The sequence below is a fragment of the Homo sapiens genome, chromosome 16 (genome assembly GCF_000001405.40).
Source record: "Homo sapiens chromosome 16, GRCh38.p14 Primary Assembly".
Classification (NCBI taxonomy): Eukaryota; Metazoa; Chordata; class Mammalia; order Primates; family Hominidae; genus Homo; species Homo sapiens.
This window is the reverse complement of record NC_000016.10, coordinates 67,639,541-67,666,794: the sequence shown is the minus strand read 5'-3', so window position 1 is coordinate 67,666,794 and position 27,254 is coordinate 67,639,541. Positions and strand designations below refer to the sequence as shown.

The window sequence follows — 27,254 nt, the reverse complement described above, 5'->3', positions numbered from 1 at the left end:
GCCGGGGTCAGTGGGCCCTGACCCCGGGGACGGAAGCCACGGTTGCCCGGCAACAACAAGTCCCGTCGGGTGGCAGCGGCTGGCGGCAAAACCTCTCGAGTGAGCCCCTGCCCGAGTGCCGCGGGGGAGAGGCCGCGAGCGGGACCGAGAAGTGGGCTGGGAGCAGAGGTCGCGGAGGTGGCGAGCGAGGCCGGGGCCCAGGCGGGGACCGGCAGGGGCCCGGGAGTGGCGGGCACGCCAGGGTCAGGGTGCCGGGCGAGGGAGGGGGCCCGGGGTTGGGGAAGGGGGCCCGGGGAGGGAGGTAAACAGCCCTGCAGGCCTCGGGGCACCGTTGCTGGGCGGCGCCGGCGGCATGTGCGAGGGCCCGTCCCGCATCTCGGGGCCCATCCCCCCAGACCCGACGCTCTGTCCTGACAACTACAGGCGGCCGACCTCGGGTGAGTCCGGGGGCTTGGCGGTGGTGCGAGGCTCAGGGGTCGGCCCTGGCTCCACCTCTGAGCCCCGGACTCCGCCCGGCTCCGCCCCACAGCTCAAGGGCGCCTCGAGGGAAACGCGCTGAAGCTGGACTTGCTGACTTCCGACCGGGCCCTGGACACCACCGCTCCCCGTGGCCCCTGCATCGGTCCCGGTGCCGGAGAGATCCTGGAGCGCGGCCAGCGCGGCGTCGGGGACGTGCTGTTGCAACTCGAGGGGATCTCCCTAGGTCCTGGGGCCTCTCTCAAGAGTAAGTCCCAGGAATGGAAGAAGGGACAGAGAGGCAGTGCGGGGTGGAAAGAGATCAAAAGCAGCTGCTCTTTCCACCCTGACGTGGGCCCAGGCTTTGCATCTCTTGAGTCTCAGTTTCCCCAACTATAAAAGGGGGAGAAATATGCTACCTTCTCGAAGGAGGTGAACTGAATGAGGTAGTTCCCACGAAGCCCTAGCTCTGCTTTATGCATTTGTTACCCATTAAATTTGTTTGTTGAGTGCCTACTGTGTGCCAGGCCATATAGATGCTAGAACACAGGGCTGAAGATAAGCATGAGCCATCACTGAGTCAAGGTGGGATACAAAGATCAAGAGATGAATGTCATATATGAGATGATCTATGGTGTACTTCAATGGTGTACTTCACTATAATAATGGAGGAAATCACCTGGGCGCAGTGGCTCACTCCTGGAATCCCAGCACTTTGGGAGGCCCAGGCGGGCAGATCACTTGAGTCCAGGAGTTGAAGACCAGCCTGGCCAACATGGTGAAACCCCATCTCTACAAAAAATACAAAAATCAGGCTGGCATGGTGGAGTGTGTCTGTAATCCCAGCTACTCGGCAGGCTGAGGTAGCCGGGGAGGTTGAGGCTACAGTGAGCTATGATCATGCCACTGTACTCCAGCCTGGGTGACAGAGTGAGACCCTGTCTCAAATAATAATAATAATAATAATAATGGAGAAAATCATCCTGTGATACTTACTACATGAGGAAGGGAACACGGTGATGAGGGAGAGTGTGTGTAGGGTCTAAGGTAGTTGGAGAGGTCAGGGAGCTCTTTCTGTAGGAGGCAGGGGGCAGGCCTGTGTGTGAACTAGTGGAAGTTGGACTGTGTGGGCCCCATGTAGGGCAGAACCTGGGGGCATCTTTTCTCCAGGGAAGGACCCTAAGGACCATGAGAAGGAGAACCTGAGGCGGATCAGGGAGATTCAGAAGCGCTTCAGAGAACAGGAGCGCAGCCGGGAGCAGGGCCAGCCCAGGCCCCTGAAAGCTCTGTGGCGCTCACCCAAGTACGACAAGGTGGAGTCCCGGGTCAAGGCCCAGCTCCAGGTACCTGCTTCAGGGAGCCAGAAGTATTATCCATTTTGTTGGCCAACAGGCAACTGTACCCTGATCTGAGTTCTGGGGTGGGAGGGAAGTCACAGAGGTAACAGAGGACTAAGAGACCCTGGCTCTGCTGCAGGGCGAGGCTGGGGGGCTTCTCAGAAGTAGTGATGGTGGGGCTGATCCTGAGGGCAAGTAGCAATTAGTCAAAGGGACAGCAGAAGAGAACATTCCCAAAAGATGGAACCTCACAGACCACAGGGCACGCAGCAGTGGAGATGCTAGGTACAGTTCACTGTGAGGAAAGAAGGGCGTGAAGTTAGGCCAAGAAGTCAGCTGGACCCACGTCAGGGGCCACAAAAGCCACTTTTCAGCCCTTATTTCTGAGGACAGTGGGAAGGGCAGGGGTATGGTGGGGGGCTCTGTCTCAGGGACTCAGTAGGAGGAGCAGGAGTGAGAGGAAAGGCAAGGTCACACAAATGTGTTGTAGCTGAAGCATCTGTGGGGTTCCCAGGGGGTGGGAGTGTGTCCAGGAAGCAGATGGAAATTCAGGCCTGGATCTCAGGAGTGAGACCTAGGAGTTATTGACGATCAGGTTGAGGACAACGAGACCAAGGAATTGACCGCCTGGATTTGAGGACTTGGAGGCCAGCTGTTAGGAGCCTTGCAGGGCTAGAGCCAGGAAGCTTGGCTAGGAAGGAGGAAAGAGAGTGGTAGCTGGGCCAGTACTGAGGTGGAAGGAGAGATGGTTTGTTGTTTTCTTAAAAATCTGACATACTCACACATTTGTGTGCTGATGAGGACAAGTGTCCCTTGAAGAGGGAAGAGGGCCCGAGGGACATGGATGCAAAGGTCAGAAGGGCCAAGATGGCCAGGGTCTTGCAGCTTGAGCCCCAGACCTCAGCCTGCCTGCTCTCTCTGCTGTGCCCTGCCCTCCAGGAGCCTGGCCCTGCCTCTGGGACAGAGTCTGCCCACTTCCTGCGGGCGCACTCCCGCTGCGGCCCTGGCCTCCCACCACCCCATGTATCTAGTCCCCAGCCAACCCCACCAGGTCCCGAAGCTAAGGTGAGAGGATGTATGGGGGCTAGATGGTGGTTGGGCAGGGCTCCTGGTGTGGGGGGGGTGTTCAGGGACACAACATAATGCTGTCTGCCCCCACCCACGCTTGCTGTGTCCTGCAGGAGCCAGGCCTGGGGGTGGACTTCATTCGTCACAATGCACGAGCTGCCAAGAGAGCCCCCCGGAGGCATTCCTGCTCACTGCAGGTCCTGGCACAAGTGCTAGAGCAGCAGCGGCAGGCCCAGGAGCACTACAATGCCACGCAGAAGGGCCATGTGCCACATTAGTAGGTCTCACTGCCCGACACTCAGGGTGAAGGACACCTGTGGAGGGTGGGAACCAACCTCTGCCCTCGGGTCATCAACTCTGAGCCTGTGTACCCACAGCTTGTTGGAGCGCAGGGACCTGTGGCGGCGGGAGGCCGAGGCCCGCAAGCAGAGCCAGCCGGACCCTGCCATGCCCCCAGGCCACACGCGCATGCCTGAGAACCAGCGGCTGGAAACACTGACCAAGCTGCTCCAGAGTGAGTACCTGGGCAGGGAGGCTGGAGGGGGGCCCCACTGGGGACCGGGCACCCCTGCCCAACACTCACTGTTCTCACTGTTCCCGGGCCCCCTGTAGGCCAGAGCCAGCTGCTGCGTGAGCTGGTACTGCTGCCTGCTGGGGCAGACTCACTGAGAGCCCAGAGCCACCGTGCTGAGCTGGACCGGAAGCTGGTGCAGGTAGAGGAGGCCATCAAGATCTTTTCTCGGCCCAAAGTCTTCGTGAAGATGGACGACTGAGCCCCTTTGGGGGACAGTGGCAAGGAGCTCCATGCTGAGGATCGCCACATGGCTGCAAAGGACAGGGTTGGACCCAATCCCAGAGCAGAGGTCTGAAGACAGGAGCAGGGGGGTGGCCAGTGTCCCTAGAGCACTCTTCCCAGTCACCAGTGGCTGCAGAAGGGCCACCCTAGCCTTTTAACTGCTTTGTCAAAATTAAACATTTTGTACACAGGATTTGTTTCCATAAGAGCTTTTCTTACCCTAAAAATGCCAAGCCTGGTGGCCCTCCTGCTGCTTGATTGCAGGAAGTTCTCCCCAATGTCACTCCTGCCTTAGTCCAGAGCAGAAGGCAAGCTGGTGAGACCAGGGAGGAGGCTGGAACTGGGACACACAAGGACCATGACTGTATTTGTAGAAAACCTTTAATGTTCCCCAGGCTGAGGGAGCCCTGTGAGCCAGCTAAAAACCCCCACTGTGAAGTCCCTGCCATGTCCCAGCAGTGTGGAGTGGCATGGGGCTTCATCCTGACTGTCAGAGGCTGAAGCCACTACCATCTCCTCGAATGCGACTCCCCCAGCCAGAACTGGCCTGCTCCTGGTCATCCAGGGAGGGCAGAGAGCTGCGGGTACCAGGATGTCGGCAGCCAGGGTGCAGGTCCCAGCACGGGGGCCCCTGAGACAGCCCATTGGAACTGGGAGGCTGGCGGTTCTCAATGACCAGGTCACTGCTGTCATCGTCACTATCAGGCTCAGCAGGCCCAGGCCCTGCAGAGGGAGGACCTGTCAAACGCCCAGATGCCCCTCGCACCACGTTATTGCGCTGGTTGGCGGGCTTGACAGTGACAATGAGGTTATGGCTGTTGGCAACCATCATGTCCGTCACTTGGTCCAAGGTCTTCCCGGCTACTTCAATGCCATTGACCTCGAGGATCTCATCACTGACCGCCAGCAGCCCTGTACTCTCAGCCAGACCCCCACGTACCAGGCGGGAGATGAAGATTCCTGGAACCCGCTCCAGGCCCTGGGGAGCCACACGCACGCTCATGCCATCTCGGATGTAGAAGCCCAGGGGGCGGTCTGAACCATGCTTGTGCAGCCGCACCCGTCGGTGGGTCTCAGGCAGTAGGTCCACGTCTATGACTGAGGAAACCTGGCGGAAATCTTGGGGCAGGCTGATTAGCAAGGGTGGCCGGGTGCGCAGGGGTGCCACTGGCCGCAGCAAGAGCCCTTTCTTGCGCCGCTGCAGAGAGTTGGAGGCAAAAGCCAGGCCGCTGGAGTCAGCTTCTGCTGCAGAAGAGGGGGGATGTTGAGATCAGAGACCTGCTCCCCGACTTGGGCTGTTTACAGGGGGCACTGTAGCTATTTCCTACCACTTAGAGGTCAAGCCAAGGGCAGGGACTGCAGAGGGTGACGCTTGGGTACCCTGGGCATGGACTAACCCTTGTAGACCTGCCCCACAGACACCTTACCCCACAGAGGCTGCCCACTGTACCCCTCCTCACCCCGCTTCTGCACCAGTAGGCGCAGTGGCGGGGGCCCGCTGGCCAGGGCCCGGTGCAGGCTGTCGTCGTTGGTGAGGGGCAGCAGGTCGCCATGAGCATCCGTATAGCCAAGTAGCACGTCCAGGCCCGGGATCTGGTGCACCGCCCGCAGCAACCGCGAGAACTCCTGGAAGCCGCTCACCGAAGCGCGAGGCAGCGCGAAGCGTCGGAACTCGGCGTCAAACTGGAAGTCGGGGTTGGGGGAGAGGAGGAGTCAGGACAGCCTGCGCCCCTTTCTCACCGCAGGCTGGCAGGAATGGGAAAGATGCGGCTGCCGCTTTTGCGGCAGCCTTAAGCCCAGACCTCAGCTCCAGTACCAGGGACGCTGTCCAAGGTCTTCTTACCGCCCTCCAGGTACTCAGGCCACAGAGAGCTGGAGACCAGCAGTGGAGGAAGGAAGACGGATGGGGGAAGGCGAGCAGAAAAGCAGAATGGGACTTGGAGGATAGAGGGAAGAGGTGGCGGGGACCAAGGAGCTGGGAAGGGGAGAAAGAGGGAATTGGGAGCGCCTAGGGCCGAGGCCGGAGGAGCCCTTACTTTGCTCTTCACCTCGACGATGCTATCGGGACTGCGCGCCGGAGTCCTCTGCGGCCGGGCCATGGCGGGGCCGGGCGGGCCGGGGACGGTGCCCCAGGCGGCCCGCCGAGGCGCAGGTGCACAGCCCGGCCGGCCCGCCCGCGCCGCCCCGCCCCTGGCGGTAGCACACGCCCCGCCTTCCCATCCGGAGCGTGACGTCAAGGGGGCAGCGACGCAGAGTGGAACGCGGAGTCCACGTTTCCTAGGAAACGGAGCCGTGGATGGAGAGGAGCCGTCCTCCGCTCTTGCGTCATCACGCTGAGGTCCGCGCGCCCCCGGAGTCTGGGGAGCAGGGCTCCGCCAATCCGAGGGGAGGGCGAAGGAAGTACCATTTATTTAGCGCTGTGTGTGTGCTCTTATTTCCACTGGCCTTACAAGACCGTGCACTGTGTAGATGAGGAAACTGAGTCATAATAAATATGTGCTGAACCGTTCGGGGGTCACACGGTGCTGAAATGGTTTCGAGTCAACTCGCTCGGACGGCACTCGGCCTCAGCCTCCGGCCCTGGAACCCTCTCCAGGGACGGGACCAGCCCTTGTTCTGTTCCCTACCGGTACCACAGGAATCTTGACGAACGGCCCAAATGCCTGGCCGCTGTCAGAGTGACGCCGCGATGAGAGTAAACGGGCCAGCATCCCGTGCACCAGCGGGGTGGACCAGCGGGAGTCTGCACACAGGCCCCCGAGCAGGACGCCCTCGTGCGCAGGCGCGGGGTGTACGTGGGCGGGGCCTCCTCCTCCGGCCCCGCCCAGCGAAGGAGCTTCCTCTTCCGAGGAAAGGCGGGGCCTGGGCGCCCGCGGGAAACCCGGGCCCGTTGCATCCGCTGGGTGTAGCCGTGGGGATGGCAGGTTCGGGGAGGCTGGTCCTACGGCCCTGGATTCGGGAGCTGATTCTGGGGTCAGAGACACCCTCCAGTCCACGAGCCGGGCAGCTGCTTGAGGTGAGCCCCCATTCAGGGCCCGGAGACCGAGGCGGAGGCCCGGGGTGGTGGGATTGACGCCGCTCGCCGCCGTCAGGTACTACAGGACGCCGAGGCCGCGGTCGCGGGCCCATCCCACGCCCCTGATACGTCCGACGTCGGGGCCACGCTGCTTGTGTCTGACGGGACCCACAGTGTCCGATGCCTGGTGACGCGGGAGGCCCTGGACACCTCGGACTGGTGAGAGGCCCCGCGCGGCTCTGGAGGTCGGAGTCCGGCAGGAGAGCGCGAGGTGGGCGGGCCTTGTGTTCAGGTGGGCCCGGCAGTGAGGATCCTGCTTGTTGCAGGGAGGAGAAGGAGTTCGGCTTCCGCGGGACAGAGGGCCGGCTGCTGCTGCTGCAGGACTGCGGGGTTCATGTCCAGGTCGCTGAGGGCGGCGCGGTGAGTGGTGAGACTGCCTTGGGCGGGTTACCGGGCATGACTCTTCGTGACGATTCTGAGACCCCCCCTTCCCCCCGAACTCCTCCAGCCCGCAGAGTTCTATCTCCAGGTGGACCGCTTCAGCCTGCTGCCCACGGAGCAGCCCCGGCTACGGGTGCCTGGTTGGTAAGTGATGCCTCCGCCCTCCAGCAGCTCTCCCCACCCCAGCCTGGCCGGCGCTGGCAGACGCCTATGGGGTAGGAGGGCTTGGGCCCCCATTAACTACCCTTCTCTTTTTCTTAGCAACCAAGACTTAGATGTTCAGAAAAAGCTCTATGACTGCCTTGAGTGAGTCTGGGGTTGGGCTCGGGGGCCACGTGTTGTTTGGTGAGGGGATGGTGTATCTAGGTAGACAGGCCTCAGCATGGTTCCTGAGTCCTGGCCACTCTCTTCCTGTAGGGAGCACCTTTCAGAGTCCACCTCGTCCAATGCAGGTACTGTAGAGCTTGACCAGTGATCCTAACACGCTGTGCAGTGATCTCTCCAGCCTTAACCTTATGCTTCCTCAATAAGCTGTCTTCCCCCTCACCCTCCTGGTCCTCCCCTTTAAGCCTTGACTCATCCCATGGTCCCCTGTCCCCAGGCCTATCACTGTCCCAGCTTCTGGATGAAATGCGGGAGGACCAGGAGCATCAGGGGGCACTCGTGTGCCTGGCTGAAAGCTGCCTGACACTGGAGGGCCCTTGCACAGCACCCCCTGTCACCCACTGGGCTGCCTCACGATGCAAGGCCACGGTCAGTCTGGGGATTTGCTTGGGAGATGTCAGGGTGAGGAGTTGGGCAAGGGTCATATCCCACAGGACATGAGAGTAAACGGGCCTGTCCTACAGAGTTCATGTCCCACAGGGAGAAGCTGTGTACACTGTCCCCAGCTCAATGCTGTGCATCTCTGAGAATGACCAGCTAATTCTGAGCTCTCTAGGCCCCTGTCAGAGGACACAGGGTAAGGGGGACTGGAGAGGTTGGGGGGATACCTGGGGCCCAGGTCCACAGTGCTGATAAGACTTCCTGAACCCCCCAGGCCCTGAGCTGCCCCCACCAGACCCGGCTCTGCAGGACCTATCTCTGACCCTCATAGCCTCTCCTCCTTCCTCACCCAGTTCCTCAGGTGAGGTGATGCACAGGTCACAGGCACTCACTGCCGCCTGTCAGTCAGGTTCCCGGGCTGCGCAGGATGCTGTGAAAGGTGCACGGTGGGTGGGGGATGAACACGGTCCCTGCAGTCCTGTCTGAGCTCGCAGGCCACTCAGCTGCCCTGAGCGGAGAGGGCTGTGCCTACAATAAGTCCCCTCCTCCTCAGGAACCCCGGCCTTACCCGGCCACATGTCATCCGAGGAAAGTGGTACCAGCATCAGCCTTCTGCCTGCCCTGTCCTTGGCTGCTCCAGACCCAGGGCAGAGAAGCAGCTCCCAGCCCTCACCAGCCATCTGCTCAGCCCCTGCCACCCTGACCCCCAGGTCCCCACACGCCAGCCGTACCCCCAGCTCCCCACTCCAGAGCTGCACTCCCAGTCTCTCACCCCGTAGCCATGTCCCCAGTCCACACCAGGCTCTTGTGACCAGGCCCCAGAAACCTAGCCTGGAGTTCAAGGAGTTTGTAGGGTTGCCCTGCAAGAATCGGCCGCCTTTTCCCAGGACCGGAGCTACCAGGGGAGCCCAGGAGCCCTGCTCTGTCTGGGTGAGCATAGCCCCTCTGCAGCTGGAGGGTAGAACAAGGAAGGCCTGAGGTAGAGCTGGGAGGGAGCATGGGTAGCCTTGGATGGGGTTGGGGTCCTTGTTAGCTCTTCCCCAGACACCATACCCCTTTCAGGAACCCCCAAAGAGGCATCGTGATGGTTCTGCCTTCCAGTATGAGTATGAGCCACCCTGCACGTCCCTCTGTGCTCGGGTCCAAGCTGTCAGGTGAGTGCCTGGGTCTGCCCCAACTCTTGGTCACTAGTCCCAGGCTCCATTGACCTGCAGCGGTGGTTTCTTTCCAGGCTTCCTCCCCAGCTCATGGCCTGGGCCTTGCACTTTCTGATGGATGCACAGCCAGGGTCTGAGCCAACTCCGATGTGAGACGTCACGCAGGACAGATACCGCTCCACACTCTGCTTCCTTTGAGTTTTTTAATAAAATAATCTCATGCGGCAGGAGAGGAGAGGATCAGGGATTGGGGCCGCCGCCTCTTTGGTCTGTGGCTGGGGAGGGTGGGCTCCGCTCAGGGCTGGAGGGCTCTGTGGGCTGTGGGGGCAGAGGCTCGGTTCCAAGGCCAGATCCTGTGAGGGGAGGGAGGGAGAGAGAGGAAGGGTCAGGGCTGGGCTAAGCAGTCCTGCCACCCTCCCAGCTGGCCTGGACCCCCTCTTACCTAGGCTTGGGGATGGAGGTGCCTCGAGTTTTGGCCTGCGTTTGAGGACGGGGGAGCGCTGCAGCCTCAGGGGCCGTTCTAAGGGACACAGAAAGGCTTGGGGTGGGTTGCTAAGGCTTGGGGTCTGTCCATCCCCTGCCCCTCTCTTCCACCTCCAGTGCACATAAGCATGCACTCACACACACTGCTGCCTTCAGAGCATCCCCCGTCCCTGCGTCCTCACCCCTGGCAGAGGCTGCTCTTCGGGAAGTGGAGCCAGTGCTAGTTGGAAGGGCTTGCTGTCAAACCCTTGCACCTGGTCTTCTGGCTCCCTGATTTCTTGAGACCTCACACACTGGTGGCTCCCTCCAAGGACCAAAGCTATGAAGGGAGCCCCAGAAGCCCACCCTCCCACATCTCCTGCATTCAAGCACACGTGGAGGTGTCTCCCCTCACCAGCAGGGGCCTGGAGCTGGTCCTCATGCACAGACACTGCTCGCCGCCCTGCCGAGAGAGGCCTCGGCCTCAGCTGGCCATCTGAGGGAGGCCAGGGAATCAGGGGTATTCCAACAGCTGCCCCCACTCCAGCCCTTGCCTCCCACCCTCAGGGTCCTTAGAGGAGCTGAGTTCCCAGCAGGAACTCCTCCAGCCCCGAGGCCAGGATTGGGGTGGGGAATCAGGTGCCTGCCTACCTTCATTTCTGGGGCCCAAGCAAGGGTCCTCTGGGAGGCCCAGGCTGTCTGGGGAGGGGCTGGTTCTGCAGGGACTTGGGCTTTGACCAGGGGAGGGAGGGCCTGGACCATCCTGTTGGCCCCAACCACGGCTCCTGAGCTCCGCATTCAACTGCTGCCCCAGTGTCTTCCAGGTGGCAGACTCAGGCCCCTGGCTCCCTGGGCCAGGTCTGCAGGAAGGGTCTGTAGGGAGAAAGGTGTCAGCCAAGACCTGGTCAGGCATTGGCGATAGGTCTGAACAACAGTCTGACCCAACTCCTGCCTGTCCCTGCTCCCACTACCAACACACACAGTGGCCCTCACTCACCAGCAGACACAGAGTGGGTGCGGGACTTGATCGAGATGGGAGGGGCCTCCGTGGAACTGTCCATAATGTCACCTGCAAGGCGGAGCTGGGGACTCAGGTACCAGACCTTGGAGGTGAGGGGAAGAAAAACCTGGCCTCTCCCCTTCCTCCCCAAGGAGAGCAAGTGCCTTGGGGGCTGTCTATAAGGACACCTCCTGGCAAATGTACTGCCACACCCCAGGGTCCCACTTACCATCTGAGCCAGCTTTCTTGATCTCGCCATCTTTGCTCTGCAGGAAACAGGGCAATCAGATTCCAGCCCTGCCCGCTCCCCACACCCTAGCCTTTTGTTCGTTCTTGTTCTTATAATCCTGCCACTGAATGCCCACCATGGGCTGGACAAGAACATGGCAAACCCAGTACAGCCCTCTTAGAACTCTTTGCACACTTGAATATTTCTAAATTCAGGCCGACTTCATGTTTTTTGTTTGTTTTTGTTTTTTGTTTTTTAAGATATTGAATGGATGGTATGGAGGGCTGGGGTTCTTTGGGACTCTAATGAGAGAGACATTAGCAGGGTGGCCCACAGAGGAGAGTCAGGGAAGAACCATGGGCACTGCAGGGATGGCTGAGGAGGGACCTGGCGTAACCCACAATTAGAGACTGGAAGCGAGGCAGGGAGGACATCCAGACCACCCAGGGACGTGTGTGGAGGCTCTGATTTGCACCAGGGGAGGAAAGCAGTGAGGTTTTAAGGTGGCCAGGGCCAAGACCCCACAGGGCTCTGAAGCAGGTTGTGGAGTCTGAACAGTGTCTTGAGAGGAAGCCCCTGGAGGACTTGCTATTTCAAGCACAAGTGACAAGGTCAGATTTTTTTCTTTTTCTTTTTTTGAGATGAGTCTCACTCTTGTTGTCCAGGCTAGTGTGTAGTGGCACGATCTAGGCTCACTGCAACCTGTCTCCCAGGTTCAAGCAATTCTCGTGCCTCACCCTCCCAAGTAGCTGGGACTACAAGTGCCCACCGCCACACCCGGCTAATTTTTGTATTTTTAGTAGAGACAGGGTTTCACCATGTTGGCCAGGTTGGTCTCTTAACTCCTGACCTCAGGTAATCCACCTGCCTCAGCCTCCCAAAGTGTCGGGATTACAGGCGTGAGCCATGGCGCCTGGCCCAGGCCTCAGATTTCTATTAGACCTGCAGAGAAAAGACTTTCTCAGGTCCAAAGAGGAGATGCTGGTGGCCTGTGCCTGGGTCAAAGCCAAGAGGGAAGAAAGGTCGAATCTGTAACCATTTCGAGGAGAATGGAGTAGAACTGACAATTAGACCTATCTGTCATGAGTCTCCTCCATCTTGGTCACTTATGTCACCCACAGCATGCCATCTGCCCTCTCACTTCATGCTCAGGTCCCCTCAACTCACTTGCTTCCTCTTGCCTTCGGCACCCCCGCTGCCTCGGCTGACGCCTATCCTCTGCAGCATTACTTGTACCCGCTGTTCAAAGGATGGAGCCAGTTCTGTTTCTCCCCGCTCCAGGGGCCGCCGCTAGGGACAGAGATGCTCGAGTTGGAGACAGTCCGCGCCCTGGGTCCCAGAAGCGCCTTCACCACCCCCCATCAGCAAGCCTCACCTTGTCGGGTCTGGCACCCAGCGTTGCCTCCTCCTCGGCAGGCAGCAGTATCATCGAGTAGGCCTTGCTATCTCTTGTGTAGCGAGGTCGGCTCCTGCCGGCAGGGTCAGGGCTGCTGGTGTCCCCCTCAGCCCCACCAAGCTCCTCACCACGGCTGGGACGGGTTGGCGGCCGCAGTAGGTCGCCAAATGTAGTTTTTCGGGTTCGGGGAGCTGCCCCAGGGCTGGTCTCTAGATCAGTCCGTGGACCCCGCGTTGAACGAGGCTTCTTGAAGGCAAAGAGGGTGCCCAGCTTCTTTCGCAGTGTACGGGGGACAGGAGTGGCGCCCCCCTCAGTGGCCGGGTCCTCCTCGGGGGCCCAGCTGTGGGGACACCCAGCAGTGAGCGAGAAAGCCCATCAGGCATCCCACCCTCTCCCACCCCCAGCAGATGCCCCTCACTCACAGGCGATCCTGCTGGATCAGCCTTTTGGAGAAGAATTCCTCCACGCCCTCGTCCACGCGGGCACTGAGCCCATTCCCTTCCTGCGGCAAGGCTGGGGGTACCTGGGGGGCATCATGGGGTCAGGGGTCAGGGTTGAGTGCAACTCTGGCTTCTACCCCCCCCCCCCCCCGGCCGGCAGCCTGGACTGAATAACTCCAGGATTCCAGACTGGGGTGACCCTAGGGGCTGCTGATACCAGCCTCCTACTGTCCTGCTGCTGGACAGAGACTCCAGATTTCACGCACTCCTCACTCGCTGCTGGCTCCCGCACACCCAGTCCACACCCGTCCTTGTCCCACAGAGTATCCTACACGCCCGAGCCACCCGGTCACCAGCAAACCTAGCCCTCACGTGCCCCCGGGGTCACCCGTTCCCACTTGCCACCAGCTCTGCTCCGAACAGTTCCCTGCAGTGTCCCCCACCCCACCCCCACTCCACCCGGCCTGCTGCCGGCTCAGTGGCGCCGGCTGCTGCGTCAGACCCTCTGGGGGGCCTCAAGCCGGCTCCTCCCCGCCCTCCGCCAGTGCCCGCTGCCCCCGCGGGCTTGCAGCCCACACACGCATCTCCCCACACGCGCCGCCGCCGGACGCGCAGCAGACGCAGGCTTGGCCCCGCGGCTCGGCTACCCGGCTGCCCGGCATCTCTCAGCAGCCCCGGGGGAGGGAGGGAGGACGGACACCCTCTCTCGCGCAGCCACGGAGGCCGCGGGCCGCCCCGAGACGGAGTCCCACACCCAGGCACACCCCGAACGGAACCCGCACACCCATGGTCCCGCACAGGCATGGCCTGGGGTGGGGGGTGGTCAGGAAGAAGCCAGGATGTGACCGCGGCCGCACGACCAGGTGGCCTTGGGCCCCCACCACCCCCTCTCCTTGACCGCTACCACCCATGAGGAGCGGCCGGGCCACCCGTGATCCCCAATTCCACGCGCTCCGGAGTGGGGGAAGGGTGCTCACCTGGGGGCCCCCCGGCGGCGGGCGGTGGTGGTGCTGGCGGCGCGGCCGCGGCCGGGCCCGGGTCGGATGGCGCAGGGGCTGCCCCGCCAGTGGCAGGTCCATGCGGGGCAGCGGGCCGGCCGGGGGCCCAGGGGCGGCAGGGCTCGGAGAGCCGCGCGCGGACGGCCCCGCCTGCGGCTCTGCATCTTCTCCCGGAGCCGCCAGCTCGGGCTCCGGCTCCGCTTCCTCAGCAGCACCTGAGGGGACAGCACCAGAAGAGCACCGAGCGCCGAGCCCGGGGAGGTGGCGGCGGAGGCGCTAGGGCGGCGGGGGACCCGCCCAGGGCGCGGGGAGGGGCCCGGCTACGCCGCCCGTCCCCCCGCCCCTCTGCCCCTCCGCCCCTCCCCCGCCGCCGCCGCTGTCCGTGGTGCTGAGCGCGGCCCCGAGCGCGCGCGGCTCCGCGCCGCCGCCCAGCATGCGCGTCCCTGGGGTAGGGAAAGGGGCGCGGGGAGGCGAGCTGAGCCGGTGTCCTGTCCCAGATCCGCCCAGGTCCCGCCCCGGGCTGACCACAGCAGACCCCAGCTTTGCAGGTTGCACAAGGGGCCCGACCTGGCCCAGTCAAGGGCTGGTGGGTACCCAGACAAGGCTGAATGAGTTCATCCAGGTCCCCGGGTCCCCAAGTCTAATGGAGCTTCAGCCCACCCACGTAAACTCCCTCCCCCAAGGCCCTGACTTACTGTGAATGAAGGGGACCAGGTGAAGACCGTGGCTGAGCTCAGGCCATTTCTGTGGAGGACTGTCATCCTGGTGGGGAGGGCACAAACTCAGCCTGGGGTAGGAGAGCACCAACCCAAAAGAGCTGCCTTTCACCTTCCACACTCCACAGCAAGATGGGAAGACTGGGAGTGCCATGCCCCGTGTTCTAAAACCACTTACCTTCTCCTTCTCCTCTTCCTTCTCCTCGGGGAAGAAAAGACCTTCCAATTCCCCAGGCTCAAGGAGGCTGGGCTCACCTCCATCCGGTGCTGGTAGGGCAGGGGGCATTGTCACTGTTGCCTGCTGAGCCAGACTCTCCACCTGCAATACCAAGCAGCCAAAGATGGCAGGTAGGGCCTCAGCCATGATCCCATTGATGCTAACTAAGGGGACCCTGAAATAGCCCTGGGCTACATGACCCCAGAAGACATTACAGAGCCCCTGCAAGGGAGATGGCCAAGTCACTGCATGTGTGTGTTTGCACGAAAGTGTGTGCACATCTCCCCCTCACCAGCTGATCCCGGGCTGCACTCAGGCCTGCCAAAGCCTGAGCCACAATGCTCTCTGCCAAGGTCCCCGTGATTGATAGCCGCATGTCCCTAAGGGCAGGAGAGGACAGGGGTTAATGGGCTGGCTTTGCTCAGCCTTGCCCAGCCCAGCCCCATCCAGCCTACCTGAGCCTAGTGAAGGCATCTTGCAGCAGCTGCTCTGGGAGCAGCTCCGGGAGGCCCCTCGAGCCTGCCAGGACCCCCTCTAGCTGCTCCCTCCAGCTGGATCCCTGCAGCATCTGTGGGCAGAGGCTCCTTGCTGTGTCCAGTGTGGCCTGAGTGAAGTCCTAGACAAAGGTCAGTCAGAGCATGGTGAGGATGTGGCCAGACACCAGGCTGCTGGCTTGAGGCTCCAACTCCAACAGAATATTGAGTCAGGGGATATCACAGTTAAAACTAAAGGATGGGAGTCAAACCTGCAAACGGAGGTGGGGTTGGGGCAGGAGTACCCTCTCACCTGGATGTCCTGGCGGCAGACCTCGCCCACCTGTCTCAGAAGGCCCTCCAGCTTCTGCCCAAGCTGCCAGTGATGGCTTGGGGAGCTTCCAGCTTCATATAGAATGGGGAGAATCTGAGGGCCAAAGAGGAAAAGCAGTTGCGAGCTGACACCTGACTAAGAGGGGAAGGGTCCTTGTAGCAGGAGGGGGAGTGCTCACGCTGAGAGAGAAGTTGGCATTTTGGATGGCATCCTCGGCCTGGCGCACAGCGGCTTCACCCTGGGGCCCAGCCCCACAGCCCAGCAGCTCCACATGCTCCTGCACCGACTGACACAATTCATTCACTTCCTGGGGCGAAATGGGGATCAGTCTCAGCCTAGCCCCCTCCCAGTCTCCCAGATCCTGCCTGCCTTCCTCCCAGGCTCTTTAACAGAGGGAGGTCCTGAAGCTGACACCCTTAGACCAGCCACTTTGGAACCCTATCTGTTCAAGGAGGGAAGGAACTATCTGTTGCTTTGGTTCATTTTAAGGACTTTATATACACTTCCTAAGTGCCCAGAATAGGAAGGAAAGGAGTTGTAAATCATGTCTGTGTTTTAGAAGCTCAGTCTGTCCACACAGAGGATAGACTGAGAGAGGGGTAGAAAAGGGAGTGAGTAGCCCTGGAGGAGGGACCAGGAGGAGCAAGGGATAATTGGTGTGGGGGTAAGGAGTGGCATGTATGAAGGTTGGTCTAGAGGCAGGACGAAGGAGGCCTATGAGGGCTCCAGTGTGACCAGGAGAGACCTGGAAGGGTGCCCCAACCTCTGTCCACAGCACTGGGTGGCTGTGGGCACCAGTGGGATTGGGCTCCAGGGTAGACAACAGGGTTTGTGAGCGACGATGACATCACTTGGAGAAGTGCAGAGCATGAAGCCCAGCAGGATGTCTGGATTAAGACCTTTGGGCTCTGAAGCTTAGGAAAGAAGAGGTATTTGGGAATGGAGAGGTAGAAACATCTCCAACAGATAAGGTAGTGGAGGGAGATGAAGACAGTGAAGGAGCAGCTGGGTTTGGGCACACAATGGAGAGGGGAGGGGAGTCACGTATATGTGAGGACAGAGATGGGGCTACAATTGGGGGAAAATTGAGGAAGGACATAAAAATTCCTCTCTAACAGGACAGCCTGTTTACAGGCTTAACGTTAGGCAGCCAAGGGTGTTATTTGGAGAGCTATTTAAGGGGTGTTTAGCCGCCTCCAGATCAAGGAGAGGGACTTTGTGTGGGACAGCAGGGCTCAGGCACCCTGGCCCCAGGAAAGTCAGACCCTCTGACTCATGGAGGCTCCCGGATGCCACAGGTCTCCTCATGCCCTACCTCTCGTGGTTGGGGAGGGGACATTGACCTGCTCTGAGGGGTCTGAGACCAGACCAAGTGGCTGAAGGCGGGTCGTGTGGTCAGAAGAGGCAGGGTCTGCGCGGTTGTTCCTCAAGAGACAGGCTTGGATCTAGGGGCAAGGGGTATTGAGAAATGCCGAGGGACGGAGTTACCGTGCAGAGAAGGGCAAGGGAAGAGGGGGACGCCCACCTGATGGACTGCACGTGCTGTCAGTTCCGGGCGGCTGCGCTGCGCCTGGGCCACGTCGTTCAGTGGCAGAGGCATGGCCTTCAGGCTGTGGTTCTGCTCCAGCGCCTGCGCCACGTCCAGCAGACCCAAAGCAGATGTGTGGTTCCGGTCCCAGACCACAGACCTGGGCCGGGCCTGGCTTCAGTCGGGGACGGAGCTTCCCAACGCCCCACCCAACCCTCGGCCTAGTCCATTCGCCTCGTCAGCCTGCTCCATTTGCTCCGCCTCATTCAGTCCCTCCCCTTAGCCCGGTGCCCTCCTCTCCACCGCGCCCCCTGCCCGCTGGTCCCACCCCTCTGACCCCGCCCACCGGAGCCTCGAGTTGACCCGCAGCGCCTTGGCCAGCAACTTGGCGCCCGCGTCCCCCATGGCGTTGCCGCTGATATCCAGCGCGGTCAGGTTAGGATTGGTGGCTAGGGCCCGGAGTAGGACGCTGGCACCCAGCTTCAGCCGAGACTCAGCCACCGACAGAGACTGAAGAGGCTGGGGTTAAGAGAAAGCCATTGATGGCTGGAGTCAGGGGTCAGTGAGGGCAGGTCACAGGGTCTGAGGGAACAAGAGAAAGGAGGACCAAAGTGGTCTAATTGCCCGAGGCCCTGCAAGGTCCCGTGAACTCACACAATCGTCGTCCTGCATGAGCTGGACAATCCGGTGCAGGACGTCGTCCAGGGTCTCCCTGTGGGCAGGGGCCGCAGTTGTGGGGGACAGGGGTGGTGGGGTGTTGTCTGGGAGGCCCAGGAGTAGGGTGGGGGCTCACTTGCACCGGACGTTGAAGTTCCTTCCAAGCGCCACATGTCTCAGGGACCGGCTTCTCCCGATGGCCAGCACCAGAGTCACCATGTCTGAGCCGAAGCCTGGGGGTGACTCGGGTCACGCACGAGGCGAAGTTGCAAGGGTAGGGTGGGGATTGGGAATCGAGTGGATGATGCGAGGATGGGCTCTCCTGCAGCCTCACCGTTATCCGCCAGATCCAGGGAGCTCACAGCGCCTGCGTCGCACACTAAGTCTTGTATCACCTGGGCGCCGGCCGAGCGCAGCTGTATGTGGGAGGTGGGAGGTGGGAAGTGGGACCCACTTAGGCCGCGAGTGGGGAGGGGCAGGCGGCCCACGGCCCTGCCCTTCCGCCTCCCAGCGCCTCTCCCAATGTGTGGTCTCTTCTGGGGGCCGGCGCTCACCTCGCAAGCGCTGAGGTCCAGGTGCAGGTCGCGGAGGTGCGTGTTGAGCGCGAGGCCATCCAAAAGGGCTCTGGGAGAGGACGTTACACGGGGTGGCGGGAGCTGGGACAGGGGGCTCCAGGGTGCGAACGAAGGAGGCAGGGCCAGGATCTGGGGGAGGTTGTGGGAGCGACAGAAGCAGGAGCGGGGAGGGGCGAAGGCCAGGGCAGGGTGGGAGCGCCCGCGGGGGCGTGGCCGGGGTCCGACACTGACCTGAGCGCGTCGGGCGGCAGCTTGCAGCCCGCCAGGCCCAGGTGCCGCAGCGTCCGCGCGCGGCTGAGGAAGAGCTGCAGCGCGGCCGGCGCGGCGCGGGACTTCCTGGGGGAAGTGGGAAGGTGGGCCTGGGGCCGCAAGGAGGCGGCTTCCAGCAGCCTCCCCCGGCCCCGACAGGTCCCCCTTACGTGCGGGAGAAGACGTTCCTCGAAGCGTCGAGGTGGGTAAGGCTGGTGCAGCAGCCTCGGGATACCGCTGCGAAGAGCTGCGGGGGGAGGCTGTTGGCTACACCCGCGGGGGGACCGAGCCCTCCCCGTCCCGCCCTCCAGTCCGCCCTGCCGGTCATCCATCCCCCCACGGAGCACCCCCTCACAGTGTCCAGGGCAGTGTCGGTGCCTGCGAGATTCAGGAACGACAGTACGTTAGGACGGCTCAGGAAGCTATAGAGGCCCTGGAGGGAGGACAGGGGTGCGATGGAGTGGGGGATCGCCTACCCAGGGCTTATGAGCAACCCCAAGCTCCCACCCTGAAGACAGCCACTCACCCCACTGTCCTCGGAGGCCCCCAGCGCCCCAGGATTCCCAGAAAGGTCCAGGTGGGTCAGGGTGGAGTCGAAGGCGGCATTGGTGGCCAGTGCCCGGCCCAGAGCCCTCATTCCTGGTGGTGGGTCGGGGTCACTCAGCAGTTGGACAGACCCCCACCCCCCTCCCCTCACCCCCTCCCTCATCCAGCCTACCTCGCGGTGTCAACCCTGTCTGGGCCAGGCTGAGTCTCCTCAGGGCTCCTGGACAACGCTCGAGGTGTCTGCTGAGTGCAGTCATGCCTTGGGGGGTGGGAACAGCCACGTGGGTCTCACCTCCTCCTGCTGCCCACCCCTGCGGTCCCCAGGCTCAGTCATACCTCGGTCATCCAGCAGGTTCCCCGCGAGGCTGAGCTCCCGCAGCCCAGAGCTTGAGTGTCCCGCCAGCGCCTGGGCCAGTCGTCGGACAAAGTCTCTGGGGACCAGACCCCAGGCATGAGATTCTGCCCCTGGTTTGCCAACCCCTCCCAGGCCACTAGCCCCCAGTCCCAAGCCTCCAGACTCTCCTCTCCAAGCCCTGCCCTGTCCCCCTCACCCCCTCAGGCTGCAGGTCTCCAGCACCAGCTCCTCCAGGTGTGATGACTGACTCATCATGTGCAGAATCTGTTCTGAGACCTCAAGGCTCTGAGAAGCAGAGGGCGGCGGCTCACGGGCTGCACCCTGGCCCTCAGCGGGCTGCACCCTGGCCCACACCCTTGGCCCCTCCCTGCCCTTACCCCGAACCCCCTCACCAGCTTCATGTCCACACAGGAGAGGCACCGGAACCACAGGTTGTAGGACAGGGCAGCCACACTCAAGGCCAGGTCCCTGGTGGGAGGGTGGGAACAGAGGCAGAGCTCAGGGCCCTCCAGCCAGGTCCCAGGCCCAGCAGCCCCTCCATGGAGAAACTGAGGCCCAGGGATATGGGCCCCGGGATCTTCCTCCTCTCCCATCCTGGCAGGCCACACACCGACTGCCGAGGTGGCTGAAGTCTCCCAGGCTGAAATGGCGGCAGCCCTGGCGATGGTAAATGGTGTCCACGTCCTGGGTGAGAAGGAGATGCTTACAGTTCGCCTGGGGCCACAAGGGGCAGGGAGGGGCTCAGCACACATGGGGGACCAGATGTCTCCAGAGCCCTTCAAAAGGGCCCTACCCTCACCCACTGAATCTCCTCTCGGAAAGGGAAGCCATTGTAGTCACACAGAGCCTCGTATGTCTCCAAGAAGCCACCTGGGGAGGGGATAGGGGTGCGATGTGGAAAAGGAGAGAGACAAAACATCAGCGATGGAGGAAGACCAGACCCACAGACTAGGTGGTGGCTGGGACCTGAATGGCTCTGTTCAGTTTGGGGCCCCCCCAGCTTGCGGGTCTGGGGAGGCAGAGGTGGGGCAGGCTGGAAGGCCTGTGGCTCTGCCTTCACCCTTACCACAGGGGCTGCAGGGGTCAGTGGACTCCGAGGGGCTGCTTCTCTCCAGCCGAGCCAGCATGGAGGCTGGTGTGGGCCTCCGGAATAGCTTCCTGGTAGGGGGTTAAGGAGAAGGGGGCAAAGGACTTCCAGCCTCTGGGATGGGAAGCAGCCCTTCTCATGCACTCCCTCCTCCCCTGCCAGCCCCTCGAATTTGCCAGGCCTCACCCAAGGGTCGAGCGAGGGAAGACCTTCTTGATGGCTGCAGCCACGTGCTGGGCCAGCTGTTCCAGGGCGGCCACACCAGGAAACTCCAGGACCAGCTCACGCAGGGACTCCAGCTCAAAGGTGACCTAGGGAAGGGGCACTACTAGGCCTCGGCTCCACACATGGGCGCAGGTGATGGTGGTAGCATGAAGACCAGGCTGCAGGCCCAGGTAGGGTACTAGGTGTCTCACCTGAGGGGGTGTCTCCTGCAGCGCCATGGCCTGGACCTCCAGGTAGCTGAACGTGCAGTCCACCTAGAAAGGGCCTAGATCAGCTGGGACCAAGCCCCCAGCCCCGCCCTCATGGAAGTCCAGTCCTTTGGGCAGCCTGGGGCAGAGCCAGATCTGCCTGGACTCCCCTCCTGTCGGCTGCCCAGAGCCCAGTGCTGGTGCAAAGTCAGGGCCCACAAGGCCAAGAAGGACCACTCTGCAGATGCAGCCCCCTGCCAAGGTAGCTGCTGGCGGGCGGGGGTGTGGCCAGGCCCTGGGACTCACCCTCAGCGGGAGGCAGGTGGTGTGCAGCAGGTAGGCTCTCCATCGTAGCAGTGCCTGGGGAAAGACAGTCTGATATCCTGGGCAGAGCAAGAGGCTCTTTCTGTGGGGCCACAGCCGCCTCCCCGGCTCTGTCCCCTGCCCCATACCAGGACATGGTTTTGCACAGCACCCTCCCCGGGTAGCCAGGTTTTCAGCAGCAGCTCCACCTCTTTGGGCCACAGGAACCTGGTGATCTCGCCTGTGGAAGGGCAGCCTGCTGGGTGACTTCAGTCCTTGCACAGAAGCCACTGGTGCCCACAGTCTGTGCCAGGCTGGGGCCCTGGGGCTTATCTGCGGCCAGCGAGGAAGGAGGGGAGAGGATCTGGGGCGCCTGCCCTCCTGGGGAGCAGGGAGGACCTCTGACCAGGCCCTCTGGGGCGCTGGGTGGGCCTCTGATTTTGGGGCTGCACTACTTCCTCCCGGCCAAGAAGGCAGGAAGGGCCAGCGCTTACCTCGGAGCTCACAGGAGATGCCGTCGGGGGTCTGGGCCATGGGCCGGGCGGGCCGGGGAGGCCCAACGAGCTCCGGCGGGAAACAGCAGAGGACGAGCGCGCACACAGGAAGCCTGGGGCCCAGACCCGCACGGCAGCCACCTGCTCCTCCGGCGGCGGAAGGTGCGCGCCGCTTCCTGCCAGGCCGCCCCCGGCCCGGCCCCTCCCCGCCCCGGCCTCGCGGCTCGAGAGCTTGCCCGGGAGCGGGGTTGTGGGAGGGGGGCCGAGTCCCACCTGCCCGCCCGCCCCGTCGCCCAGGAGCTTCTCCGCCAGGGTAGACGTCGGGGTGGGCAGTGGCGTGGCCGGGAGGGTCGCGGGTGTGGCGGGCCTCCAGCGGGTCCTTGCCCCCGGCTTCCACCCCGCCCCGCAGTCCCTGCCGCGAACACCAGGGGACGCTGCCTGCCTGGGGATCCCCGCGGCCCACCGGGGCTGGTCCCCTCCAAAGCCCAGGCTGCGGAGGTGGACGAGGCGCCTGGCAGAAGGGGGACTGTTCAGCAAGGAGCGCCCGAATTCTGCCAACACCGGAGGTCCTGCCCGTTGCTCCGAACCTGGAGTCCGTGACCCTGTTAGGGATCCAAGAGATTTTGAATGGGTGGGAAAAAATGTCAGATGGGGCCAGGCGCGGTGGCTCACGCCTGTAATCCCAGCACTTTGGAAGGCCGAGGAAGGAGGAACGCTTGAGCCAAAGAGTTCGAGACCAAGCTGGGCAACATAGGGAGACCCTGTCTCTGCAAAATAATTTACAAAATTAGACGGCGTGATGGCGTGTGTCTGTAATCCTAGCTACTTGGGAGGCTGAGGTGGGAGGATCACTTGAGCTTGGGAGGCAGAGTTTGCAGTGAGCGGAGATCGCACCACTGTACTCCAGCCTGGGTGACAAAGCCAGGTCCTGTCTAAAAAAAAAAAAAAAAAACAGCCTGATGGGTCCAGACGCCCTTCCTTGCCGCAGAGGTGGGGTCAGGGCCGAAGGTGAGGGTGTACCCGGAGCCTTCGGGGGGAAGCCTGGGGCTAAGGTGAGCCCTGAACCCCAAGCACTTCATAGAGGGCCGGAGTGAGTCGTCCAGGTACATGAGGGTCTTCTTGTGTCTGCCTTCTCCCCAGGCTGGAGAGAGTTTGGGAGGGGGCAGCCAGAGAGAGAGAAATAAGCCAGTGTCTCCAGGGCTGAGAGGGGTCAGACAGTCATAGGGTGGGGCCTGGTAGCCTGTTGCCCTCTCAAAGACCAGGACCTAGATTCTGGAAAGTTCACAGGAAGAGACTGCATTTTTTTTCTTCTATTACAATCTAAACTCCACTTAAGCGGTAAGGAACAGCAGTCTACCCTGCCCATAGCTCAGCAAGGTGGAGGTGAAATGACAGCTAAGGGTGACAAGGAGGAGTCAGCTGCAGAAGATGCAGCACAGAGAGTTCCTGCTGCCTCCCCGATTGAAGAGACATACTTGGTTTGTTTGTTGGTTTTGAGATAGAGTCTTGCTCTGTGGTCCAGGCTGGAGTGCAGTGGCACAATCTTGGCTCACTGCAGCCTCCGCCTCCCAGGTTCCAGCAATTCTCCTGCCTCAGTCTCCCGAGTAGCTGGGATTACAGGTGCCCACCACCATGCCTGGGCTAATTATTATTATTATTATTATCATTATTATTATTATTATTTTAGACAGAGCTTCGCTCTTGTTGCCCAGGCTGGAGTGCAGTAGGGCGATCTTGGTTCACTGCAGCCTCCGCCTCCCAGGTTCCAGCAATTCTCCTGCCTCAGTCTCCCGAGTAGCTGGGATTACAGGTGCCCACCACCATGCCTGGGCTAATTATTATTATTATTATTATCATTATTATTATTATTATTTTAGACAGAGCTTCGCTCTTGTTGCCCAGGCTGGAGTGCAGTAGGGCGATCTTGGTTCACTGCAACCTCTGCCTCCTGGGTTCAAGCAATTCTTCTGCCTCAGCCTCCCAAGTAGCTGGGATTACAGGCATGTGCCACCACACCCAGGGAATTTTTATGTTTTTAGTAGAGACGGGGTTTCACCATGTTTGTCAGGCTGGTCTCCAACTCCTGACCTCAGGTGATCTGCCCACCTCGGCCTCCCAAAGTGCTGGGATTACAGGCGTGAGACACCATGCCTGGCCACGAAGAGACATAATTTGGATTAAGATCTAAGGCTCTAAGACCACACAGAACCCTCAAACTGCTTGTAGGGTGACAATTCAGTAGGTCTCACACAGTACTGCCAAGGAACCAAGAATGCAGGTTCTGGCCAGGTGTAGTGGCTCATGCCTATAATCCCAGCATTTTGGGAGGCCGAGGTGGATCGCCTGAGCTCAGGAGTTCGAGACCAACCTGGCCAACATGGTGAAACCTTGTCTCTACTAAAATACAAAAAGTTAGCCAAGCGTGGTGGTGGGCACCTGTAGTCCCAGCTACTGGGGAGGCTGAGGCATGAGCATTGCTTGAGCCCAGGAGGCAGAGGTTGCAGTGAACCAAGATCTCACCACTGTACTCCAGCCTGGGCGACAGAGCAAGACTCCGTCTCAAAAAAAAAAAAAAGCAGGTTCTGCAGGCACACTGCCTAGATTTTGACACTGAACACATTGCTTAGCCTTTCTGGTCTTCCAGTTTTGTTTGTAAGCCGGAGCTATTAACTAACCTCAAGCCTTGCTCAAAGGATTCAATGTTTATTAAGGGAAGTGCCCGCAACAGTGCCTGGCACTCAGATAACACTCACATTTGCCAAGTCTACCATGACAACCCAGGGATTCCAAAACAGAATGGCAGAAAATCCACCTCACTGGGATTTTTCTGTTTAGAATGACAAGGAGGAGAGAGAAATGAGAGTGACTGCCAAAAGGGCTGGAGCCATGCCCAGGTGGAGGGCCTCTGGAGGCTGCAGCGATGCCAGTGGGGCCAGTCCCTGTGTGTGTGAGCACATGGGGGCAGGCAGGGACAACTAAGAGATCTGGACAGGCTTGCAGGGCTAGCCACGTGGCTGATGGTGGTCAGGGAGGTAGTAACACAGCAAACCTGATCTCAGAGACCAAGTGAACACATGGGACTCGGTTCTTACAAGTGACAGTGACTCAGTGAGAAGCTGTCAGCTTGTTCAAGCCCGTCTGTGTTCTGGATGGCATGCCACTCCATGGGCATTCAGGAAATGTCAAAGCTCCCGAGAGCATCAGCCTCGCCTGCTCTGGGTAGCACAGGCTGAGGGCGAGACTTGCCTCCCAGGTGGGCCGGGCTATGCCCCCTTGGTGCTGCCATAAGGCTCACCACAGATGATTTTCAAAGACCAGGTCCTGACAAGTCAGAGAAGGGTTCAGGTACTTGCTGAGCTGGGCAGCAATAGGGTGATGCCAGCCTAGGGGTGAAAGGGGCAAAGGTTCTTTACTTCTGTGGCTTAACACTGAGGGAGCTGCATGCAGGTTCAGGAACTTCCCTGTCAACAGAAGCAGTAACACAACTGGCTTCTGCTGCTGAATGTTTTATAATTAAGGGACAGACAGGATGCATCCTGGGCTATGCAGCAGGAGGATCCCTTTTCAGCCTTAACTCCATCAGGATGTCAATTCTCTTGCCCCCTCTCCAGCTAAAACAAATCCACTTTTAAACTTTTTTTTTTTGAGACGGAGTCTCGCTGTCACCCAGGCTGGAGTGCAGTGGCGCAATCTTGGCTCACTGCAACCTCCGCCTCCCGGGTTCAAGCAATTCTCCTGCCTCAGCCTCCCAAGTAGCTGGGAGGCTACTTTTAAACTTTTAAACTTTCTAACAGAGGGCCGGGCATGGTGGTGCACGCCTGTAATCCCAGCACTTTGGGTGGCCGAGGCGGGCGGATCATGAGGTCAGGAGATTGAGACCATCCTGGCCAACATGGTGAAACTCCGTCTCTATTAAAATACAATTAGCCAGGTGTGGTGGTGCGTGCCTGTATTCCCAGCTACTGGGGAGGCTGAGGCAGGAGAATTGCTTGAAACTGGGAGGCAGAGGTTGCAGTGAGCCGAGATCACGCCACTGCACTCCAGCCTGGCAACAGACCGAGACTCCATCTCAAAACAAACAAACAAGCAAACAAACAAACAAAAACCTTTCAAACAGAATGTATACAATCAGGAATGACAGGCTGTGTTGAATGAAGATACAGAAAAACTGAGCCTCATTGTTCTGCAAAGAGGTTATATATGCTTAGGTGGCTGGGAATGGTGGTTCATGCCTATAATCCAGCACTTTTGGAGGCTGAGGCAGGAAGATCACTTCAGTCCAGGAGTTTGAGACTAGCCTGGGCAACATAGCAAGATCCTATCTCTAAAAAAAAAAAAAAAAAAAAAAACCCTAAAAAAACAAAAAAAACAAAAATGAGCCAGGTGTGATGGCATGGCCCATAGTCCCAGCTATCCAGGAGGCTGAGGTAGGAGGATTGCTTGAGCCTAGTTCAAGGTCACAGTGAGCTGATTGTGCCACCACATCCCAGCCTAGGTGACAGAGTGAGACCCTGTCTCAAAAAAAACTTGGAATTAAAAAAAAGTTGGGGCCGGGTGTGGTGGCTCATGCCTGTAATCCTAGAACTTTGGGAGGCCGAGGCGGGCAGATCACCTGAGGTCAGGAGTTCCAGACCAGCCTGGTCAACATGGTGAAACCCCATCTCTACTAAAAATACAAAAATTAGCAAGGTGTGGTGGTGGGTGCCTGTAATCCCAGCTTCTCAGGAGGCTGAGGCAGGAGAATCCCTTGAACCCGAGGTGGAGGTTGAAGTGATCCAAGATTGTGCCACTGCACTCCAGCTTGGGTGACAGAGCGAGACTCCGTCTCAAAAAAAAAAAAGAAAAAAAGAAAAAAAGTTTTGGCTGGCTGGTAGGGGGTACCCTGGCGGGTAAACCCGTGGATGGGATAGAGAACTCAAGCTCCAACAGCCTGAGACCACTAACTTTCAGACCAACGAGTTAACTGCCTGGCTGAGTCCCGAGGCCCCAGGAGGCCCTGGGTCGTTTTCCTGGGAGACCCATCTGTGTGGACAGCACTAGCCAGCTAAAAGCTTCACACATTTTGCTCTGTTACTTCTAATTGACAACTCCTAAGTTGGAATTTAGGTTAAAAAACTCAAGTGGTTTAAGCTTTCACCTCAAGTGGGTTTGCCAAAGCAATCTGCCTAGGAATGGCAGCAGCAGCAAGATAATTTTCCACTCACGCCTAAGATTCCAAACACGACACAACTCCCTTTCCAACCACCTTCCTGAAGTGCTACCAGGCAGCTCTATTATCTAAGACGGTCTCTTCACTACTCGGTGGTTGTGCATCTGTCTCTCCTTTCAAATGAACTTCTCTAGGGCAGACTGGGCCCAGCTCCTCTCTGTTCCCTCACACCTGGCAGAGCTCCAGGTACATCTGATCCTAGGCCTCCTTGAGCTGAGAGCCTGAGTAGACCAGCTTCCCCTCAGCCCCTTTCACTCTAAGCAGCTCTACGCCCCATCTACTCTGTGCATGGGGCACTTACTCCTCAAGTGGATCATGGAAGCTGGCTGCTGTCCATCTACTCACCTGTCTACTTAGACACACATTTTGGGGAGTTAAGAAGTTACAGCAGGGGCCGGGTGTGGTGGCTCACGCCTGTAATCCCAGCACTTTGGGAGGCCTAGGCAGGCGGATTACAAGGTCAGGAGATCGAGACCATCCTGGCTAACACAGTGAAACCCAGTCTCTACTAAAAATACAAAAAATTGGCCAGGCATG

The 27,254-nt window shown here is 60.1% G+C and overlaps 4 protein-coding genes across 24 annotated transcripts, besides 6 other annotated features; 2 read left to right on the top strand and 2 right to left on the bottom strand.

The window, feature by feature from the left end:
- Positions 1-44: 44 nt before the first annotated feature.
- On the top strand, positions 45-3,850 carry ENKD1 (enkurin domain containing 1). Of its 4 annotated transcripts, NM_032140.3 has the most exons (7): positions 45-437; positions 530-724; positions 1,627-1,799; positions 2,733-2,858; positions 2,975-3,138; positions 3,239-3,375; positions 3,474-3,850. In NM_032140.3, the coding sequence occupies exons 1-7, from the start codon at positions 353-355 to the stop codon at positions 3,632-3,634; spliced, it is 1,041 nt and encodes a 346-aa protein (NP_115516.1). In that variant the 5' UTR covers positions 45-352; the 3' UTR covers positions 3,635-3,850. The 4 variants fall into 4 exon arrangements, 3 of the variants coding, with proteins under 3 accessions (NP_115516.1, XP_024306237.1, XP_024306238.1); NR_138150.2 differs by lacking the exon at positions 1,627-1,799; XM_024450469.2 differs by lacking the exon at positions 2,733-2,858.
- Positions 204-473: a silencer, noted in NCBI's record as "silent region_7619". NCBI's record gives its function as "represses an Ori minimal core promoter by ATAC-STARR-seq in GM12878 lymphoblastoid cells {active_cell/tissue: GM12878}" and the evidence as "EXISTENCE:reporter gene assay evidence [ECO:0000049][PMID:35858748]".
- On the bottom strand, positions 4,021-5,835 carry PARD6A (par-6 family cell polarity regulator alpha). Of its 8 annotated transcripts, none has more exons than XM_005255977.4 (3): positions 5,694-5,835; positions 5,085-5,340; positions 4,021-4,902 (listed from the first exon to the last, which is right to left on the bottom strand). In XM_005255977.4, the coding sequence occupies exons 1-3, from the start codon at positions 5,754-5,756 to the stop codon at positions 4,148-4,150; spliced, it is 1,074 nt and encodes a 357-aa protein (XP_005256034.1). In that variant the 5' UTR covers positions 5,757-5,835; the 3' UTR covers positions 4,021-4,147. The 8 variants fall into 8 exon arrangements, with proteins under 8 accessions (XP_005256034.1, XP_011521397.1, NP_058644.1 ...); XM_011523095.3 differs by having other exon boundaries at positions 4,021-4,899; NM_016948.3 differs by having other exon boundaries at positions 5,118-5,340.
- Positions 5,569-6,048: a silencer, noted in NCBI's record as "silent region_7618". NCBI's record gives its function as "represses an Ori minimal core promoter by ATAC-STARR-seq in GM12878 lymphoblastoid cells {active_cell/tissue: GM12878}" and the evidence as "EXISTENCE:reporter gene assay evidence [ECO:0000049][PMID:35858748]".
- Positions 6,359-6,468: a silencer, noted in NCBI's record as "silent region_7617". NCBI's record gives its function as "represses an Ori minimal core promoter by ATAC-STARR-seq in GM12878 lymphoblastoid cells {active_cell/tissue: GM12878}" and the evidence as "EXISTENCE:reporter gene assay evidence [ECO:0000049][PMID:35858748]".
- On the top strand, positions 6,535-9,283 carry ACD (ACD shelterin complex subunit and telomerase recruitment factor). Of its 4 annotated transcripts, none has more exons than NM_022914.3 (12): positions 6,535-6,673; positions 6,759-6,892; positions 7,000-7,093; positions 7,182-7,258; positions 7,376-7,420; positions 7,532-7,566; positions 7,716-7,867; positions 7,979-8,075; positions 8,154-8,240; positions 8,433-8,809; positions 8,942-9,033; positions 9,111-9,283. In NM_022914.3, the coding sequence occupies exons 1-12, from the start codon at positions 6,575-6,577 to the stop codon at positions 9,187-9,189; spliced, it is 1,368 nt and encodes a 455-aa protein (NP_075065.3). In that variant the 5' UTR covers positions 6,535-6,574; the 3' UTR covers positions 9,190-9,283. The 4 variants fall into 4 exon arrangements, 3 of the variants coding, with proteins under 3 accessions (NP_075065.3, NP_001075955.2, NP_001397813.1); NM_001082486.2 differs by having other exon boundaries at positions 6,750-6,892; NM_001410884.1 differs by lacking the exon at positions 8,154-8,240 and having other exon boundaries at positions 6,750-6,892.
- Positions 6,622-7,205: an enhancer, noted in NCBI's record as "H3K4me1 hESC enhancer chr16:67693493-67694076 (GRCh37/hg19 assembly coordinates)". NCBI's record gives its function as "activates a minimal SCP1, AML or CMV promoter by ChIP-STARR-seq in primed H9 embryonic stem cells {active_cell/tissue: H9 hESC(primed)}" and the evidence as "EXISTENCE:reporter gene assay evidence [ECO:0000049][PMID:30033119]".
- CARMIL2 (capping protein regulator and myosin 1 linker 2) lies at positions 9,226-21,651 on the bottom strand. 8 transcript variants are annotated; one of them, XM_011522875.3, is made up of 39 exons: positions 21,509-21,651; positions 21,164-21,255; positions 21,018-21,071; positions 20,715-20,777; positions 20,485-20,609; positions 20,278-20,369; positions 20,011-20,081; positions 19,822-19,895; positions 19,589-19,679; positions 19,408-19,496; positions 19,193-19,287; positions 19,029-19,115; positions 18,837-18,949; positions 18,666-18,743; positions 18,481-18,557; positions 18,293-18,397; positions 18,041-18,110; positions 17,821-17,902; positions 17,623-17,719; positions 17,484-17,541; positions 17,176-17,348; positions 16,827-16,989; positions 16,645-16,746; positions 15,480-15,608; positions 15,281-15,394; positions 14,950-15,110; positions 14,787-14,874; positions 14,456-14,596; positions 14,257-14,323; positions 13,541-13,776; positions 12,546-12,646; positions 12,103-12,463; positions 11,895-12,017; positions 10,728-10,764; positions 10,496-10,567; positions 10,150-10,371; positions 9,914-9,994; positions 9,479-9,574; positions 9,226-9,389 (listed from the first exon to the last, which is right to left on the bottom strand). In XM_011522875.3, exons 1-39 carry the CDS (start codon positions 21,546-21,548, stop codon positions 9,277-9,279), a joined length of 4,233 nt encoding a protein of 1,410 aa, XP_011521177.2. In that variant the 5' UTR covers positions 21,549-21,651; the 3' UTR covers positions 9,226-9,276. The 8 variants fall into 8 exon arrangements, with proteins under 8 accessions (XP_011521177.2, XP_016878442.1, XP_047289600.1 ...); XM_017022953.2 differs by having other exon boundaries at positions 9,914-9,961; XM_047433644.1 differs by having other exon boundaries at positions 19,604-19,679.
- Positions 12,805-13,337: an enhancer, noted in NCBI's record as "H3K4me1 hESC enhancer chr16:67687361-67687893 (GRCh37/hg19 assembly coordinates)". NCBI's record gives its function as "activates a minimal SCP1, AML or CMV promoter by ChIP-STARR-seq in primed H9 embryonic stem cells {active_cell/tissue: H9 hESC(primed)}" and the evidence as "EXISTENCE:reporter gene assay evidence [ECO:0000049][PMID:30033119]".
- Positions 21,568-21,957: a silencer, noted in NCBI's record as "silent region_7616". NCBI's record gives its function as "represses an Ori minimal core promoter by ATAC-STARR-seq in GM12878 lymphoblastoid cells {active_cell/tissue: GM12878}" and the evidence as "EXISTENCE:reporter gene assay evidence [ECO:0000049][PMID:35858748]".

Excerpts from the sequence above, each read along its gene's own strand:
- CARMIL2 (NM_001013838.3), bottom strand. The coding sequence starts at position 21,548 with ATGGCCCAGACCCCCGACGGCATCTCCTGTGAGCTCCGAG. Across the intron at positions 15,395-15,479 it reads ATGCCAACTTCTCTCTCAGC|ATTCTCCCCATTCTATATGA; the intron begins GTGAGCACTCCC and ends TTTGGCCCTCAG. Across the intron at positions 10,765-11,894 it reads CCGAAGGCAAGAGGAAGCAA|AGCAAAGATGGCGAGATCAA; the intron begins GTGAGTTGAGGG and ends TGTTTCCTGCAG.
- ACD (NM_001082486.2), top strand. The coding sequence starts at position 6,575 with ATGGCAGGTTCGGGGAGGCTGGTCCTACGGCCCTGGATTCGGGAGCTG. Across the intron at positions 7,094-7,181 it reads AGGTCGCTGAGGGCGGCGCG|CCCGCAGAGTTCTATCTCCA; the intron begins GTGAGTGGTGAG and ends GAACTCCTCCAG. Across the intron at positions 8,810-8,941 it reads AGGAGCCCTGCTCTGTCTGG|GAACCCCCAAAGAGGCATCG; the intron begins GTGAGCATAGCC and ends TACCCCTTTCAG.
- PARD6A (XM_005255977.4), bottom strand. The coding sequence starts at position 5,756 with ATGGCCCGGCCGCAGAGGACTCCGGCGCGCAGTCCCGATAGCATCGTC. Across the intron at positions 5,341-5,693 it reads TCGTCGAGGTGAAGAGCAAA|TTTGACGCCGAGTTCCGACG; the intron begins GTAAGGGCTCCT and ends CCCGACTTCCAG. Across the intron at positions 4,903-5,084 it reads CAGTGGGCAGCCTCTGTGGG|CAGAAGCTGACTCCAGCGGC; the intron begins GTAAGGTGTCTG and ends CCTCTTCTGCAG.
- ENKD1 (NM_032140.3), top strand. The coding sequence starts at position 353 with ATGTGCGAGGGCCCGTCCCGCATCTCGGGGCCCATCCCCCCAGACCCG. Across the intron at positions 1,800-2,732 it reads GGGTCAAGGCCCAGCTCCAG|GAGCCTGGCCCTGCCTCTGG; the intron begins GTACCTGCTTCA and ends CCTGCCCTCCAG. Across the intron at positions 3,139-3,238 it reads AAGGGCCATGTGCCACATTA|CTTGTTGGAGCGCAGGGACC; the intron begins GTAGGTCTCACT and ends GTGTACCCACAG.